Source organism: Homo sapiens, chromosome X (genome assembly GCF_000001405.40).
Source record: "Homo sapiens chromosome X, GRCh38.p14 Primary Assembly".
In the NCBI taxonomy this organism is placed as follows: domain Eukaryota; kingdom Metazoa; phylum Chordata; class Mammalia; order Primates; family Hominidae; genus Homo; species Homo sapiens.
In genome coordinates, this window is record NC_000023.11 from 13,289,199 (window position 1) to 13,308,934 (window position 19,736).

Here is a 19,736-nt window from a genome sequence, read left to right on the forward strand (position 1 = left end):
GAATTCAGGGACACGAACGTGGCTCACAGCAGCCTTGAACTCGTGGGCTCAAGTGATTCTTCCTCCTCAACCTCTCAAGTATCTAGGACCACAGGCACACAACACCATGCCTGGCTAATTTTTAAAATTTTCTGTAGAGATGGGGGTCTCATCATGTTGCCCAGGCTGGTCTTGAACTCCTGGTCTCAAGGGATCCACCCACGTCGGCCTCCCAATGTACTGGGATTACAGGTGTGAGCCACTGCACCTGGCTGAAACTAAGTTTTATTCAACTTGGTAAGACTCATACATTTTAAAAGCTAACATTTACTATCAAGGGAAGAATCCTTAAAACGGAACTTGAATCTTACTCAAAATAGTCTCTCGGTCAATCAGTTAGTATATGTTTATGTGAAGAGGAAATTTACTTGCTCATCCTGAACTTATTTAATGATGTTAAGCCTACTAAGTTGTAAATTAAGCAAGTTTGGAAATGGAAGCTGACATGCATTTGAGGCTAGATATATTGTTATAGTTTTTGTGATACAAATATATTTTTCATGCAGTTATATACAAAGCTTTATATTCAGTGCCATGTTTCTTCAGACAACTGTTGAGGCTTACTGTCAGCTGCACTATTCTTCACTTACTCAAAAAACATTTCTTAAATACCAACTATGAACTGTCTAGGTTTTGGAGGTACAATATTGAGTGAGAAACAGTTTTGACAATTGAGGAGTTTATAGGCCTAGACAGAGGACGACTAACTGCTGTGAGGAAGGGGATAGGAGAATCTTCAAAGACAAGGTTATATCTCCTAGAGGTCTGAAAAGACCAACTGAGAGCGTGACAGGAATAAACGAAGGAAGGGCATCCCAAATTGAGGGAATAACAGGGTCTGAGACATAAGGTTCTGAATGAACTTGAAATGTTTGGGGAGTGATGATTCATTTTGACCAGAGTTTCGGGGAAAAGGGGGGTGCCTGGATTAGGAGGATGAGGAGGTAGCTTGGGGACAAACTATGGAGCCTTGGATGATATTCTATAGATCCTGAACATTTACTTTCTGTATATATGTGTATATATATATATATATATATATATATATAAAGTGAGATCAACAAACAGATAATAATAGATAAGAGATTTTAAGCAGGGCAAGGAGTGACCTCATTAGGTTTAGGTTCAGGGTAAATAATTCTAGGCATAGCATGGAGGATGGCCTAGAATAGACAGAATATTCTGAAAGTACAGACGCTGGTTTGGAGGCTGTTGTTTAAGTGTTTAAGTAGAGGAGGTGCCTGATTTGGGAGATGTTTCTGAGACAGAATCAGGACTTGTTGCTTACTTGGGTGTGGGGAAAAGGAGAAGTTAAAAATACCTGATATTTTTATCTGGGGACTCTGGGCAGATGATGATACCACTAGCTGAGAGAGGACATTTAGAAAAAGAGCAAGGTGGGATGAAGCTAAAAAGGTTGGTCCTTAACATATTGTCATAAAAGTGCCCGTGAAGTAGACAGGGACAACAGGAACCAAAGAAGCTATGGTTTTCAGTCTCAAAATGTCTCCTTATTAATGGTCCTATTAATTGCAAATGGGGAAAAGGTACCTTTACAGTGGACAAATCTGGAGGACACCACCTTAACCAAATGATTCATCAATACCAAAGTGATGTTGTGTGCCTCCTGATACAATACGCTGATAAGGACACAACTTCACTTATAAAGTTCTCCTACCAAAAATTCATAACCTGATTCTAATCAAGAGAAAACATCAGACAACCCCAAATGGAAGTACCTGGCACAAAACAACTGTCCTGTATTATTCAAAACTGTCTAATAGGACACGGCACTGAAATGCAGTGGGTCCTGGACTGTGGGGCGTGGTGGTGAACTGAGGCGCTCCTCTTGCAGCCCACTGTCACCTCGTCAGCTCCATAGGCTGCAGAGTCCGGCCATGTCCTCGTGCCACAGGCCGCCCTGCACCCCCCCGCGCCCCCCCGCGCCCCCCCGCCACTTTCTGCGCCTGCGTGCATTTCAAGTGCTTGCGTGACATCCCCCCGCACCCCCCCCGCCACTTTCTGCGCCTGCGTGCATTTCAAGTGCTTGCGTGACATCCGGGCACTGCATGACTGGAGCGTCTGGCTCGCGGAGATCAACATGGCAGTTTTCCTGTGCACCCGCATAAAACCGTCCGCCTACTCAGATGTGGCTGAGGGAGTGGACTGCTGCTGGTCATCTCTATCAGAGGTATCTGAAAGCTCCCTATCTGAAGAAACATGGTTGGTAGCTTCAACCCTCACCCAACTCTATAAAATAAGAAGCCTCAAAAACTTGGCCGGGCGTGGTTCCTCACGCCGGTAATCCCGGCACTTGGGGAGGTTGAGGTGGGCAGATGGCTTGAGCCCAGGAGCTCAAGACCAGCCTGGGCAACATGGTGAAACCCCATCTCTACAAAAAATACAAAAATTAGACAGGCGTGGTGGTGTGTGCCTATAGTCCCAGCTACTGGGGAAGCCGAGATGGGAGGGCCACTTAAGCCCAGGAGGCAGAGGCCGCAGTGAGCCAAGATGGCGCTGATGCTCTACTTCAGCCTGGGAGACAGAGCGAGACTCCATCTCAAAAAAAAAAAAAAAAAAAAAAACGAAACAGAAACCTTTCTGTCACTTGAACGCATTTAGTTTACATCGTACATTAGAAAGGAGGGCAAGGTAGGTGCCAGTCACAGTATTAACTGCTCCAGCTTTTGGCAGGAGATGAACTATACTAGGAAGTTTCAAACTCAAAAGTATGCCACATTTTTCGTCAGACCTATGTAGTCTGAGAGCCTAAGAGAAAGCATATGAGACAGACACTAGAGATCCAATATATGGATTACCGACATGTTGAAAAGAAAACTGGAATAAAGGGAAAATAAGAAATATTTGAAGAAGAGAATAAAGTTTTCTTGAGCTCGAGAAAAATGTTTCATCTTCAGATGAAAAGGCCCTGTCATGGTCAAAGCAAAATTGACAAAAATTGCCCGGTACCTGAGTGGGAACAATAACGTTTTAAATTTGAAAGGAAAAGAATGCCATAGATTTCCAGAAAAAAGGAAAGATTATCCACAAAGTACATAATCAGACTTTGCCTGAGTGTCACATGATACAGGATATACGAAGCAACATATATATATTTTGAAAGAGACGGCTGTGTGTAATTCTATATCAAGTCACATGTGAAAGCCACAGAAATAATTCTTGCTTATATATGGGCTCTGAAAAAATTTATTCACAGATGTACTATACATGACCAAAAGATTAATCAAAATAAAGACTTTCTTTTCTTTTTTTTCTTTTTTTTTTTTTCTTTTTTTGAGATTGAATCTTGTTTTGTTGCCCAGGCTGGGGTACCGTGGTGCCATCTCGGCTCACTGCAACCTCTGCTTCCCTGGTTCAGGTGATCCTCCCTCCTCACCCTCCTAAGTAGCTGGGATTACAGGCGTGCACCACCACACCTGGCTAGTTTTTTTGTATTTTTAATAGAGATTGGGTTTCACCATGTTGGCCAGGCTGGTCTCGAACTCCTGACCTCAAGTGATCCGCCCTCCTCAGACTCTCGAAGTGTTAGGATTACAGGTGTGAGCCACTGCAGCTGGCAAAATAAAGACTTTGGAAGTAGAAGTATGTGGTACAAGTCCTGGTGGTGAGTGTAAAATTCAATTAAATTAGGACATCTGAATAATTACTGTAAATATGGTTTAAAAGCCCTGCAAATGTTAAAAATAATTTGAATATTAATCTATTTCATTTTTTAAAAATACTTTTTAATAAAAATAATTTAGTTCCCTTAAAAATTGTTGAGATTCATTAAAATAAATATGCTAGATAATAGTAATATTTATATCACTATTAAATTTTCTAAATTTGAGAATTGCACTGTGGTTACATTAGAGAATGGCATTGTTCTTAGAAAATACTGAAGTACCACTGGGGAAAGGGACACACCCATATACTGTATACATATATATACATATATACATACAGATATACACATTTACCCATATGTGTATATATATATGAGAGAGAGAGCAAATGTGGCAAAACATTAATAACTGGTGAAGCTGGATAAAGGGCATATGGGAGTTCTTTGTACTGTTCTTGCACATCTACACATTTGAAATGATTTCAAAATACAAGTTTAAAAAATTTTAAACTTTACAATTTTTAAAATATAGAGTCAAGACGTTATTAATATTCTGGTATGAGCCATTTTCATGCAGTGGTTGGGGCAGAAGCCAGTTTGATTGAGTTTGTCGAGTAAGAAATGAGAACGTAGAGAAAATAGGACATGACTCTTGGACCCCTGGGTGGAGTGGCTTCTGAAATACAAATATTTCACCTACTTTCACATTAGGTTTTCATAGTTTGAATTTTCTGAGGCAGATCACATTTATATGCAAACTCAATTATGGAAGTACCCCTATATATTCATTCTATGCTATAATGTAACAGGGCATAAATTCTTCAGGGCTGCCATCATTTTAAACTAGAAAGAGCGGTAGCATCCATGTGAGGAGAGAGAAGTACCAGCATCCCAAAGCTGCTCTTTGTTGCTGGTAATCACAATGCTGCATTCTCTCCAGTCCCTTCCCTTGGAAAGTATTTAGTTCCTGCAAGTCTAGGCAGGATTCTTGGGTCGAGACAAAAGTGACTGTTTTATTGGCTCTGGCTCTCAGTGGCTACCTCATTATACTCTTTACTTATGAAACTGAACGGAAATGATTGTGTAAACACATTACCTGTTATTACCGATAATCACACCCACCATGGCTGCTTCTTGGCTGCCCAGCTAAATGTTAAATTACTTGCTATGTCAGGGAGGGGAGAAAACCGGACCCAAAGAAAAACACGGGGAAGAGATAGGCTGTCAAGATAAAAATGTTTGGTGGGGCAGGGGAAAGTGGAAGATCTGGTCAAACGTTACAAAGTTGCAATGATGTAGGATGAATAAATCTAGAGATCTAATGTACAAATTGAAGACTGTAGTTAATAATATTGTATTGTATACTGGAAATTTGCTCAGAGAGTAGGTTTTTGATACTTTTACCACAGAAAAAAGACGGAAGGAAGGATAACCATGTGAGATGAGATGATGGATATGTCAATTTGCTTGGCTATAATAATCACTTCATTGTGTAGATGTATATCAAAACATGTTGTATACCTTAAATATATACAATTTAAAAAGGAACCTTTATGGGAACTTTAATTTGTGATTAAAGTGCTTTTAAAATATATGAGGGACATTTAAAATTACATATGTAATTCCAATATCTCAGCAACATTATGATTTTCATTTGTTTGGAGTTCCTTTATTCATATGAACATATTGTTTCTAAGTTGATGAGGCACTATATATTTTATGCATTTATATATGTTAAACATTATGCTACATTATTTTAGAAACACTTTCTCTTGATTTTATATTTGTATCATAAAAGTTTTAATAGCTGTGTTACGTCTCATTGTATTTATACATTATATATATATACTTTAATCATTTCCTTATTATTGGATGTCAATGCTGTTTATTTATTTATTTTTGAGATAGGGTCTTGTTCTGTCGCCCAGGCTGGAGTGCAGTGGCGTTATCTTGGCTCACAGCAACCTCTGCCTCCTGGGTTCAAGTGATTCCCCTGCCTCAGCCTTCCGAGTAGCTGTTACTACAGGTACGCACCACCATGCCTCGCTAATTTTTTTGTATTTTTAATAGAGACGGGGTTTCACCATGTTGGCCAGGCTGCAACGCTGTTTTTTTTTAAATGATTTTAAATAACTGCTGTAAATGTCTTCATACATGTGGATTTTTCTCCTTTTAAATTTTCATATTTCCTCAATTCCAAGATACATATTTTTTTCTTTTAATATGTATCAGGATACATTTTAGTATAAAGATATTAGTAATTTTTTCTTTAAAATATATTATTAAATTAATATTGTATCTTAAAATTGAAACTGCCTTAGAATTGGAGAAATACAATAGTTCTATAATATAAATTAGAAATAGAGGGTTTACTGAGTCAAACAAATTTATGATACTTGATAAGTGTATCAGAATGTCTTCTAAAAGGATTTTGTTGCTATTTTTTACAGTTTTGCTAGCTTGAGATTTGACTTCTTTTTGATTTTTAATAGTTTTAATAAACGCAAATGTTTTCTCATCATTATTTTAATTTACTTAGCTATTCTACTCTTCATATGTGAAGGAGTTTGGGTATAAAAAGAACAAAAGGCAACATTTGAAGACATCTCAGAAACCATTCAAAAGGAAAAACCTTGATGATTAGTCAGTAATTTTGGAGGGAAAAAGTGAAAGGTACTGGCTCTTCCCTTTCCATGTTGTTAGGTCTGTTCCCCTGCCATACGCAAAATTGGAAGGATTCTGTACAGTGATTTATTTATAGAATTACAGGGTTTTATAAGCCCTTAAGGATCATCTGGTTAACTCCCACATTTTATAGATGATTAAGTAAAAACCCAATGAGATTCAAATTGTTCAAGATTTTACAGCTAGTAAGTGCCAGGGCTGAAATTTGAAACCAAGGTTCCAGACCTTTCTACCAGGCACACTGCCTTTCTGGTGCAAATTCCATTTGAGAGCTAATGACATATCTACCAGTCCTTGACGTTTAGACTGGGCAGTATAATATTTAAGTTTAGGATATTACTAATTCTTACTTAATAAATTACTCAAGAAAGTGAATGATCTCAGATTTAAGATTATAGAACTAAACATGAAAAAAATTGCCTATATCTAAATATGTTGCACAAACGTAGACGTATATATCCGACATTTCCTGTAACAGGCTTATGCAAGAATTCTGATTAAGGTGCCTTAAGTCTAGTAATTCAGATTGTAGGTGATTAAGCCCTCTGGAAAACTGAATCACCGTGATCTTAAATTTTTCTCACTGTAGATTTAGTCTCATTGCTTATTAAATATTGCTCACCTTTTCCAAACCAAATTAACATCCAATTTTTCCATCTAAAAGATGTCATATTTTTATCCCATCATCTTTATTACTGTTATTTCCAGGCATTCATAATTTTATAAAATGTTCCTACAACTGTTAACCCAAGTCACAGTCTTTATCAGTCTATGACAACAAAATTAACTCATACTTGCATTTCAAACCCAAACTCGTATGGCACAAGTTCAAATCAGCAAAACTACTGGAAACTGGCCGTATTTAAATTGTTTCCCCAACAATTTCTAAGGTCCCAGGGTAATGCCTCATAAATACTCAGGACTGGTCACCATCTTTTACACCTGCTTCTTTGTCTTTCTTCTGGACAGGAATGTTGATGGACACCACTCTCCTCCCCTGGTGACAACTCTTGATGCATCCCTACTGTGACAAGGTTAGTCCCTCTCCAGATTTTCCATATCTAAACTGTGATGAAACCATACTCCTTAAAAAACATATCTTGAAGGTTCCAGAAAAAGGAAACTGAAAACAGAGAATAACTTCCAACAGCCAAGAGCAGTAGATCTTTAGAGCTAACAAGCCCAAACCCAAAATATGAAGCCCTGCCTAATTACCAGCAGTCCATCACGTGGCAGGGAGGCAGCTCAAAAGGAAACAGGTAACTCCAGGTATCTCCTTATCTTGGAGTTCAGGTTCCATGCCCCCCAGCTTAAAAAAAGGAGTCCTTCAAATTCTCTCAAGCCTAAGCTGGGCTTTATTTTCCTGCCTGGAATTTTCCTCTTCCCAGATGTGGGGTGGTAGGAATCCTGTAGTCTAGCCACTCAAAGATTGATCTGGGCTTCATAGCTTGAACAAGATAATCACAATCGTAGGCAGTATATTTTCCAAAGTCTGGCTTACACAGTCTTATAATTACCTCATTGTAAGAAAAAACTGTGCTTTAGAGGGAAACTATGCATTGTCCAGCATAGAGGACACCCATCTTTCTGGGTTATCTGATTCTATGGGAGCTATTTTACAATGCTGTAAATTATTGATTATTGATATCAATGCAAAATGCTTGTTTATAGACATCAGATTGTTTCCTATCCAGTAGAGGGATAGAGGTTCAATTGACTTCTCTCTCCTACTGTGAAAAAAGGCTCGTTTTGTCTCAATTTGCATATTCATTTCCCTATTTCTCATCTATAACTGTGTTTGTTCTTTGTATTCTCCTTTGAACTGGCTGATACCTCAGCGTTTTCCTTATTAATGAGTTAAATAAAATCTTGAACACGTGTTCATATGTGTTATATAGGAGAGTCATGATTTTACCATTAAAAAAATTATCTTTAACACCATGTATGAGACCCTAAAGTATGGTTAGTTTTTGCTACATCAAGTTTAGTTTAGTTCTTCATTACATTTTACCATCAGCATAAGGAAAAGAGATGATCAAGCATGTGCCCAACCCCACCATAATATTTGTTTTTGTTTGTTTGTTTGTTTGTTTTTGTTTTTGTTTTTTGTTTTTGAGATGGAGTCTCGCTTTGTCACCCAGGCTGGAGTGCAGTGGTACGATCTTGGCTCACTGCAACCTCCACCTCCTGGGTTCAAGCAATTCTCCTGCCTCACCCTCCTGAGTAGCTGAAATTACAGGTGTGCACCACCACACCTGACTAATTTTTTGTATTTTTAGTAGAGACGGGGTTTCACCATGTTGGCCAGGCTGATCTTGAACTCCTGACCTCAAGTGATCCACCCGCCTCGGCCTCCCAAAGTGCTGCGATTACATATAGATGTGAGCCACTGTGCCCAGCCCCACCATAATATTTGTATACACACAAAATACACATTCATGTACACACAGTTCTCCAAAATAAGCATAGAACAGTCTAAAATCCACATGTAAGAAGAAAAAACTCTCTAATGCAATAAAGGCACAGTTCTGGTGATCCATCAAGCAGAACATATGCTATTTCAGCTTGAAGGGTCTGCACTGAGTTACTTCCTCATATCCAGGAATTCTTCAAGAATGTAGAGTTTTCATCTGTATCAGGGTTTCTCGGCCCCAGCACAATTAACATTTTGGATCAGATAATTCTTTGTTGTAGGAGTCGTCCTGTGCATTGTAGGATGTTTAGCAGCATGTCTGGCCTCACTCCAGACATTGCCACATGTCACTGGGGTCAAAAGTAACCACCAGTTGAGAACCACTGATCTATTTTATTAAAGGTTCCCCAAGATAGCTCCTTTCAGAGTAAAGGGAGGATCTCCCTAAGGATAAGTGAATTTATTTAACCAATACATATCAGCATGGATGGGTCTCAGTGATAATGTCGAGTGAACACAGCTAAATTACAGAATGCTTTCTGCAGCATGATACTATTTGTATAAATCTTAAAATCACAAAAACTTGTATGTTGCTTATAGAAATATATATATGAAATAAAATCATAAAACCATCAACATGGAGAATACATATCAATTTAATGAGTATGGCTGCCTCTGAGAAAAGAGGGAAGGAATTAGATTAAGATTACAAAACAATATTCAACTGTGTTTATAATGTTTTGCTTTTTTAAGAGATCTAAAACAAATACTACCCAATGTTGTCATTTTTTCATTCCAGCAAATGCATATATGAATATTATGCTACTCTACAAACTTTACTGTAAATTTGAAAGAAATCCATAATAAGATATGAAAAATGCAGCTTAAATTTCAAATAATGTTCTTCAAAGCCGTTGTCATTAATTTTCCAATCATCTTTTGCTTTATATTATTCATACTGCTGCTTGCCTCCATGATTATAGGTAGCTGTGAGCTGGCAGTGTTTTATAGAGCAATTTCCTGGCTCCGACTCTAATGACAGCCATAATATTAATGCTCTCACCCTGTATTTGTGGAGTGCTTTATCTTTTCCCAGTACTCTTACATCTGTCTTCTCTTTTTATATTCACAATTTCTCTCACCATCAGTCTTCGTCTCAACTGTATTTGCCATGTATTAATAAAAGTATTAAAAAGCCTTCTACGAATGCTTTTTCTTTGGCAGCTACCTGAGTTCAGGTTTCCCTAGATACCAACCCTGAAAGATTGGATTCTAGTGCAAGCAGTTTATTTAGGAGGTGATCCTACAGAGCTCTGGTAGGGGAAATGTGACAAGGAAGAGAAGAAAGCTAATAAACAGCACATCTTAGAGCAGGTTACAGTTGAGGGCAATTGAAGCTCAGTCCTGCCCATTTGTTTACACATTATCTGTGTAGTTTTCATGTTATGGCAGAACTGAGTAGTGGTGACAGAGGCCTGAAAAGCCAAAAATATTTACTATATGGCCCTTTACAAGAAAAGTTTCTTGACCTCTTCTTTATACCATAAAACTAGAAGAAAAGTTATTATTTTCAAGCATTTTGAGAGCTTCCAGTATGAGCACATGTGTAAGAAGGAAAATGTCAATTATTACTCATAAAAATTCCATTTTTATGAAGTGTGTTAGGGGAAAAATTGAGTTAAGAAGAAAAACCTTTTTCCATAAAAACAAACATTGGCAATTTGCCCTAAAAAATATATATATAAAGGTTCAAGAAGAAATTTGAGGCGGTTACATCTCTACTGTGGAATGAATTGTAAACTCCTAGTGTAGACATAGAAAATAGTAATCATTTATTGTGCCAAACTCCAACTAATTAAAAATTACGGTGATAAAGATCTAAGACTATGTTCAGGCTTAGTGAAAGAGAGGGCCATAATTGGTAAGCAGTGTCTGAAGTGAGCACAGGAAGGAATAGTGGTGGCCAATGTTGAATGCAAAAAATAAGCACAGCTACCTGCCATGAGATGGGAGGAGAAAAAACCAAGAGAGGAAAGGGGACACTTAGGCTTCCTGCGATCTCAGAAACCTAACAAGGGCTGATAAAAGGCTGTTTATACACCAAGCAGGAAAAAACCCTATTATTAACATCTTGCATTAGTGTGGTACATCTGTTACAATTAATGAACCAATATTGTACATTATTATTAAATAAAATCTGTAGTTTACCTTAAGTTTCACTCTTTGTGTTGTACAGTTCTATGGGTTTTGATAAATGCATAACATCATATATCCATCATTATAGTATTATATGGAATAGTTTCACCACACTAAAATTTTCCTGTACTTCACCTATTTATAGCTTTCCTTCCACCCACCCCCATCCCAATCCCCTGGCAACCACTGAACTTTTGACTGTCTCCATAATTTTGCCTATTCCAGAATGTCATATAGTTGGAATCATACAGTAGGTAGCCTTTTCAGACTGGCTTTTTTTTCACTTAGGAATATGCTTTTAAGTTTCCTTTGTGTCTTCTTACATCTTGGTAGCTCTTTTTTTTTTCATCACTGAATAATTATCCATTGTATGGATGTACTAAATTTTGTTTATTCACCTATTGAAAGACATCTTGTTGTTTCCAGTTTTGGGCAGTTAAAACTATCTATTTCTTTTTGTGTGTATTTTGGTAGCTTATATCTTTCAGGGAATTTGTGTATTTCATCTAAGTTATCAAATTTGTGGGCATAGAGTTATTTATAATATTCCTTTATTATCCTTTTAGTGTCTATGAGATCAGCAGTGATGGCCCCTCTTTCATTTCTGATGTTAGTAATTTGTGTCTTCTTTTTGTCTTGATTAGTCAAGCTAGATGTTTATCAATTTTATTGATCTTTTCTAAGAAGCAGCTTTTGATTTTGTTGATATTCTTTATTGTTTTCCTGTTTTCAGTTTCATTGATTTGTGCTGTAATTTCTGTTACTTCTTGTTTTCTGCTTGCTTTAGGTTTATATTGCTCTTCTCTAGTTTCCTAAGGTGGAAACTTAGATTGCTGTTTAGATCTTTTCTCTTTTCTAATAATATGCATTCACGGCTATAAATTTCTCTCTAACCACTACTTTTGCTGCATTCAACAAGTTTTGAAAAGTTGTATTTTCATTTTCATTTAGTTCAAAATATTTTAAAATTTTTCTTGATACTTGACACATATGTTTAGAAGTATGCTTAATATTCAAATATTTTGAAAATTTTCAGCTATCTTTCTATTATTGATTTCCAACTTAATTCCACTGTGACCTGAGAGCAAACTTTGTATGATATCTTTTTTAAGTTTGTTAGGATGTTTTATGGCCCAGAATGCACGTTCTGAATGTTGGAAGCTGAATGTTCCATGTGAGCTTGAGAAGAATTTGTATTCTGCTTTGTTGGAGGAAGTATTCTAAATCTACGGATGTCAGTTAGATCCAGTTAATTGATGGTGTTCTTCAGTTCAACAATGCCTTACTGATTTTCTGCCTGCTGTATCTGTCAATTACTGATAGAGAAGTTTTGAAGTTTCCGGCTATAATAATAGATTTGTCTATTTCTCCTTGAAGTTCTATCAGTTTTGCCTCACATACTTTGATGATCTGTTGTTAGGTACATACATGTTGAGGATTGCTATGTCTTCTTGGAGAATTGGCCCCTGTATAATTGTATCATACCCTTCCTTATCCCTGATAATTTTCTGGTCTGCTTTGTCTGAAATTGGTATTGCTACTATAGCTTTCATTTGATTTGTGTTATCATGGTATATCTTTCTCTATCCCTTTACTTTTAATGTAGCTGTGTCTTTATATATATAGTGGGCTTCATTAAATATAATAGGAATTATATAGTTGGGTCTTGTTTTTTCTATACACTCTGACAGTCTCTGCCTTTTAATTGGTGATTTAAACTATTATTCACAGTGAGTAGTAATATAGTTGGATTAGTATCTACAATGTTTGTAACCGTTTTCTATTTGTTGCACTTTTTCTTTGTTTCATTTTTATCACCCCCACCCCCCGCCCCCATTTTCCTGCCTTCTCTGGTTTTAACTGAGCATTTTATATGAACCCATTTTCTCTCTTCTCTTAGCACATCAATGATATTTCTTTGAAAAAATGTTTTAGTGTTTGTCTTAGAGTTTGCAATATATATTTACAACTAATCTAAGTACACTTTCAAATAATACTATAATGCTTCACGGGTAATGCAGATACCTTATAACAAAGCATTTCCAATTACTTTCTTCCATTCCTTGTACCATTGCTGTCATTCATTTCACTCATCCATAAGCTATAACTACCCAATACATTGTTGCTATTACTCTTACTTTGAACAGTTATTTATTAAATCAATTTAAAATATGAAAAATGAAAGATCTTGTTTAAATCTTGTTGATTCCCTGCTAATGTTCTTCCTTCCTTTCTTTCTTTCAGATCAGATCTGAATTTCTGACCTATATCAATTTCCTTCTCTCTGAGGAACTTATTTGAGTATTTCGTGCAAGGCAAGTCTACTGGCAACAAATTACCTCAGTTTTTGTCTGAGAAAGTCTTTTTTTCCTTCTTCACTTTAGAAGGATAACTTCACTGGATGAAGAATTTTAAGCTTGTGTTTTTCTTTATTTTTCTTTCAACACTTTCAATATTTCACTTTATTCTCTTCTTGCTTGCATGGTCCCCGATGAGAAGTCTGATGTAATTCTTATCCTTGTTGCTTTATAGGTAATGCTTCCCCCAACTCTCTCATTTCTTTCAAGATTTTCTCTTAGCTTTTGATTTTCTGCAGTTTGAATGTGAAATGCCTAGATGTCGATTTTTTGGATTTGTCTTGCTTGGTGTTGTCTAACCTTCCTGGATCTGTGTTTTGATGTGTTTCAATAATTTCAGAAAATTCTGAGCTATTATTACTTCAAATATTTCTTCTGTTCTTCTTTCTCTTTCTTTTCCTTTTAGTATTCCCATTATGTATATGTTACACCTTTTGTAATGATTATACACTTCTTGGATATTTCGTTATTTTTCCCATTCTTTTTTTCTCTTTGCCTTCCAGTTTGGAAAGTTTCTGTTGACCTATCACCAAGCTCATTAATTCTTTCCCCAGACATTTCCAACCTGCTGATGAGCCTTTAAATACATTCTTCATTTCTTCATTTCTGTCACAATGTTTTTTTATTTCTAGCATTTCCTTTTGATTCTTTCTTAGGGTTTTCATCTCTGTGCTTACATTACCCACCTGTGCCTTCATGTTGTCTATTGTTTCCACTAGGGCTTCGTATTAGTCTGTTCTCACACTGCTATTAAAGACATATCTGAGACTGGGTAATTTATAAAGGCAAGAGATTAATGGACTCACAGTTCCACATGGCTGGGGAGGCCTCACAATCACGGCAGAAGACAAAGGAAGACCAAAGGGACTTCTTACATGGTGGCAGGCAAGAGAGGGAGCTTGTGCAGGGGAACTCCTCTTTATAAAACCATCAGATCTCATGAGACTTAGTCACTATCACAAGAACAGCATGGGAAAGGCCCGCCCCCATGATTCAGTTACCTCCCACTGGGTCCCTCCTATGACACATGGGAATTGTGGGAGCTACAATTCAAGATTACATTTGGGTGGGGACACAGCCAAACCATATCAGGCTTTTTCTGTTTTGACTACCTGGAGTACTACAATTCAATTCTGGCACTAATGACCTAGAGTTAGCACCAAATTCCACAAATTAATGGCTCAGTCCTCCACAAGACTGCTTCTTATTCCAGATGCCAGCCACAAGTGGAGTCCCCAGTCCCCAGGCTCCCTGCACCTCTGACTGATTATAAATTTGGGAGTTCCCATAACTACCTCAGTTTTGATAATTCGATATGGCTCAGAACTCACTGAAAGTAGACTATGTGTAAAACTCTACATGTAGAGTTTTATTATAAAGTATACACTTAGGACAAGATCTGGAAGGGCTCTGGATGCAAAATTTTCATACTCTCTTCCCAAGGAATCTGAGTGCATCATCCTCCCTGTACACCAGTATGTTCACCAACCAGAAAACTCCACTGAGTTTCAGTGTACACATTTTTTATGTGGAATATGATTACACAGGCATGATTGGATATGCAATTGGCCACATAATTGAGCTCAGTCTCTAGCCCTCTTTTCCATGCAGGTAAAACTGGCCCAAAGTTCCAGCCTTCTAATCGTGTGTTTGGTCTTTCTGGTGTCCATCTCCCATCCTGAAGCTAACTAGGAGTCTGTCATGAGTTACCTCATTAGCATAACAAATAATTTCTATCTCTCAGGAAATTCCCAGGATGTTTGAAGTTCTTTGTCAGGAACTAAGATCAAAGGCCAGATAAACTTTTTTTTTTTTTTTTTTAAAGACAAGGTCTTGCTCTGTTGCCCAGGCTGGAGCACCGTAAGGCAATCTTGGCTCACTGCAACCTCCACCTCTTGGGCTCAAGCGATCCTCCCACCTCAGCCTCCCAAGTAGCTGGGACTATGGGTACATACCACCTTGCCTGGCTAATTGTTTGATTTTTTGTAGAGATGTGATCTCACTATGTTGCCCAGGCTGATCTCAAACTGCTGGGCCCAAGTGATCCTCCCGTCTCAGCCTCCCAAAGTGCTGGGATTACAGGTCTGAGCTACCATACCTGGCCAAATTCTTTATTATACCACAGAGCCCTTAATATATCAATAATAGTTGTTTAAGTTTCTTATCTGATAATTCCAAAATCTGAATATATCTGAGTCAGATACTGATGCTTGCTTTGTCTCTTCAGACTTTATTTTTTCCTTCCCTTAGCATATCTCATAATTTTTTTCTGTTGGAAGTGATCATGCTATATCTAGTAATAGAAACTGAGTTAATTGGGCTTTTAATATAAGGCTTTATGTTGATCTGGCTAGGAGCTAGGCTACGTTTAATGTTAATTGTAACGCATATATGCCAGAGGCTCCAGTTTTCTATAGTTTCCTTTTATTCCCTGCTTCCATGGTGCCTTTAGGTTCCGCTAAGAACTCTTTCTTAAATAGATTACGTCTTTCAGTTCTCTCAGTTGTAATCCACCGTTTTTTTACTGGAGCCTTGCTGATGTGGTGGTAAGACTTTAAGGAGGGTAAGCACTCTATAATCTTATAATTAAATCTCAGCTATTTTTAGTGGGCCTGAGTCCCTGAGCTGTGACATTCAGCATTTCTCAGCCTTTTTTTTCCTTATCATTATGTGAGACACGAAGGCTAGGGGGAACTAGCATTGTCTAGTTGCCCTTCTTCTTGGTCACATAAGACTCTGGTAATTTCCCTTGATGTAACTCTTGTGACAGAGAACAGAAAACTCTGGGCTTATTTCAAAATGGCACTTCTTCTTTCCTCTTGCTCAAAGCAAAGGAGATTTGTCTCCCATATGATTTTTACTCTTATGGGGCTCCTAGTGGCACAGAAAACCCTGGGCTTATTTCAAAATGGCACTTCTTCTTTCCTCTTGCTCAAAGCAGAGGAGATTTCTCTCCCATATGATTTTTACTTTCGGTGGGGCACCTAGTGGTAAATCCCACAAAAGTGTGGAGCTTCCTAAAACTGGGCCATCAGGAGTTTTTAAATCTCAAGTTAGTCTGCACTCAGCCTTCAGCAGTTTATCAATTACCATTTAAGTGTTCCTACCAGTTACTGGTTCCAGAAGCCTCTGCTCTTGGTAAACTGTAATTCTTTGTATTTACACATCTCTACAGTTTTGGGGGTGGCAGTTTGCCCTGTGACCTCAATTCTCTGGTAGATTTAAGAAAAGTTGTTGATTGTTAGCTTGTTCAGCATTTTTCTTGCTGTGAGAACAGGAATGTTGACTTCTAAGCTCTTTGCATATCAGAGCTAATCAGGAAGCATGACCGGTATACAACTAGAGGAAGGGTGCTTAAATCTAAGTGGAATTAGCCTATCTATGGTTCATGGCAATCATGCATATTGATTACAGCCAGACGCCACTGATTCTTTCATCAAACCAACTTTTCTCCTAGAATTGCATTCTATGAATATAATATTTTGTTGAGTAGTTAGTCAAATTAAATGCAGTTTTCAAAAGGGGAATCTTTTAGGGAGATATGGCCTTATGGTTTGAACCAGATTTCATTTCCACTGTATCAAATCCCAGTGGCCTTCTCAGTGGCAGAATGGGTTTTTCACAAATTCTCTGTATTGTAGTTGTTAATTCTTAAGTAAAGTAACTCTGGAATGTGCTTTCTTTGGCTTATAAGTAGACCTCCTCTCCACCTTATGAGTTTCCAACTCTTTGCCCTTGAATTAGACACATGTTGGTAGATTGTAGCCTAAGGCCTACTACTTACTAGTACTTGATAAAATCTTCTCCCTAGGATGAATGGGCAGTGGACTAAAGACAAGAATTACAACTTTTTAATCAAAGTGGCTGAATCCATAACTATATCTTTCTAAATTAAGCCTGTTTTGTTATGAACTGTCTCTAGATTACCATTAGCAATGTTGTTGGTCGGATGATTTGGAGAAAATGAAAGAACATCATGATTTTTATTTTCCTTCTTTCTATAATCCAATGATTCTCAACTAGGGGCAGTTTTACTCCTGCAGGGACATTTGGCAATGTCTGGAGACGTTTCTAATTGTCACACCTAGAGAAGTGATTGCTATTGGTGTCTTGTGGGTAGAGGCCAGGGATGCTGCTAAACATCCTACAACACACAGGACAGTTCCCATAACAAATAATTATCCACAAAAAGTTATCTGGCCCAAATTGTCAGTAGGGCGGAGGTAAAGAAGCCCTGCTAGAATCTGAGAAATTAGCCACCATGGCTTCTTTGTCTATACTAGGATCCTAAAGATCTCATTATTTTTATCTCTTTATTAATTTCTGTATTACAAAGATAATATTTTTCTCTGGACTATTTTCTCATTTGACCAAGGAAGTTAGTCTTGGAATCCTGCCCCACGAAGCTTACAGGTCAGTAATTCACAGTATAATCTCCTTATTGGAGTGGAGGCCTATGGGTGCTGGAGTCCTAAGAGTTAAACACCTTTGCACAATTATAGTGGTTTAGTGTGCAGCTTATACAAACAAAAATATTATCTGTACCTTTAATTTGTAGTTTCCTTGTGTTATAGTAATAATACAGAGCAAATCTTGTGTTATAGTAATAATACAAAGAAACTACAAATTAAAGGTACAGATAAAATTTCGAAAATAGCCTTAGTGGAAGAATGAGAACCAAGCTCTTTTGACCTGTTGAGCTTCACATATGGTTTACAGATGCTCTCCAATTTCATCCTCATAACAGCCTCACCAGACAATCTTGTTCTTGTCAGACAAAGAGTCAAGAAGAGAACAGAATGATACTTTGAAGATAATTTTATCCTGTTCCTGTTAATTAGTCAAATATGTGCCTTGTATAAATTTACAACTTACACAGCGTCTACAGAGAAATATAAAAATCACTCATTATTATACTCTCAGAGATAACTGTTTAGTGTATTTCTTTGCTACTTATTTTTTTTTTGCATGTAAATGCATTTTAAGTGTAATTGCATTTATTCTGTGTACATCACCTTTATCTTTTCCCCTCCCCTCAGTATCATTTCATGGGCATTTTAGGAGGTCAGTTGATATTTTCTTTCTTTTTCAGATTTGATAAGCTAATTTTTTTTATTTCAATAGATTTTTGGGGAACAGGTGGTGGTTGGGTTACATGAGTAAGTTCTTTAGTGGTGATTTCTGAGATTTTGGTGTACCCATTACCCAAGCAGCATACACTTGAGTTGATATTTGATATTTTCTAAAGTATGATATTTAATGATTTTAAATACTTCATCATATGACTACTTCATATGTTTAATCATTCCCCTTGATAAGTGGCAACATTTTTCTGTATGAAAGAAACAAACCAAAAAACAAACAAACAAACAAAACAGAGAAGAAAAGTGCCTGAAGCACACTGGTATATTGAAACAGCAAAATTCAACAACAAAAACAAAAAATACCACCAGCTATATGAAAAACAAACCACAAATCTTTGACTTCTCATCATACCTAACAATACTGGGCTTTGTAAATATCCGTTAAATTATATACAAATCCGTGTACGCAGATAATGATATTTTTCACTGTGCCCAGAAAATTTGATTGTTGTAGTGTCTGCTTCTAAAAACGGGTAAGATATAATAGTGTTTCATATTTAAGATAAATAGTATAGCTTAGTAGTGGAAGCCTGTTTCGGGGGGTGGTTGATTTTTTTTTTTAGGTTCAAAAATAGTAATTTTAGTATCCCAGGAGTTCCAAGCTTATATAAAATAAAATAATTGTTATTAATATCTATACTGGTATATATAGGATATATGTTATATAATACAGTTCATCCTTGAACAACATGAGTGTTAGGAATACCGGCCCCCACACAGCCGAAAATGTGTGTAACTTTTGACTCCCTCCAAATTTACCTACTAAAAGCCTACTGGTGACCGGAAGCCTAACTGGTAACATAAACAGTTGGTTAACGCATATTTTGCATGTTATATGTATTATACACTGTAGTCTTACAATAAAGTAAGCTAGAGAAAAGAAAATCATAAGGAAGAAAGAATATATTTACCATTAAGTGGAAGTGGCTCATGATAAAGGTCTTCATCCTCACTGTCTTTGTGTTAAGTAGACAAAGGAGGAGGAGGAAGAGGATAGGTTGATCTCGCTGCCTTGGGGTGGCAGAGGCAGAAGGAAATCTGCATAAAAGTGGACCTGCACAGCAACCCTTGTTCTTCAAGGGTCCACTGCATATATCATATATAAAAATAACAGTTACATAGTATTGCAATTATATCCAGACATAATAGGCAAGACATGAGACATAAAATATAGAATTAATTTTGGAAGTCATCTAAATCATGCTCTGAGGGAAGGTACAAGGCTACTAAAGGCAAAGAGCCTTGCTAAGTCAGGGTGTGGCATAACTGAAAGCCCA

At 37.2% G+C, this 19,736-nt stretch overlaps 1 long non-coding RNA gene across 1 annotated transcript in view; it reads right to left on the reverse strand.

Annotated features, from left to right (window-relative positions):
- Nucleotides 1-14,254, reverse strand: part of LINC02154 (long intergenic non-protein coding RNA 2154) — a 37,405-nt gene extending 23,151 nt beyond the window's left edge. The window contains exon 1 of the long non-coding RNA NR_146309.1: nt 14,122-14,254. This is a non-coding gene — a long non-coding RNA (long intergenic non-protein coding RNA 2154). The remainder of the gene's footprint in view (nt 1-14,121) is intronic.
- Nucleotides 14,255-19,736: the final 5,482 nt, after the last annotated feature.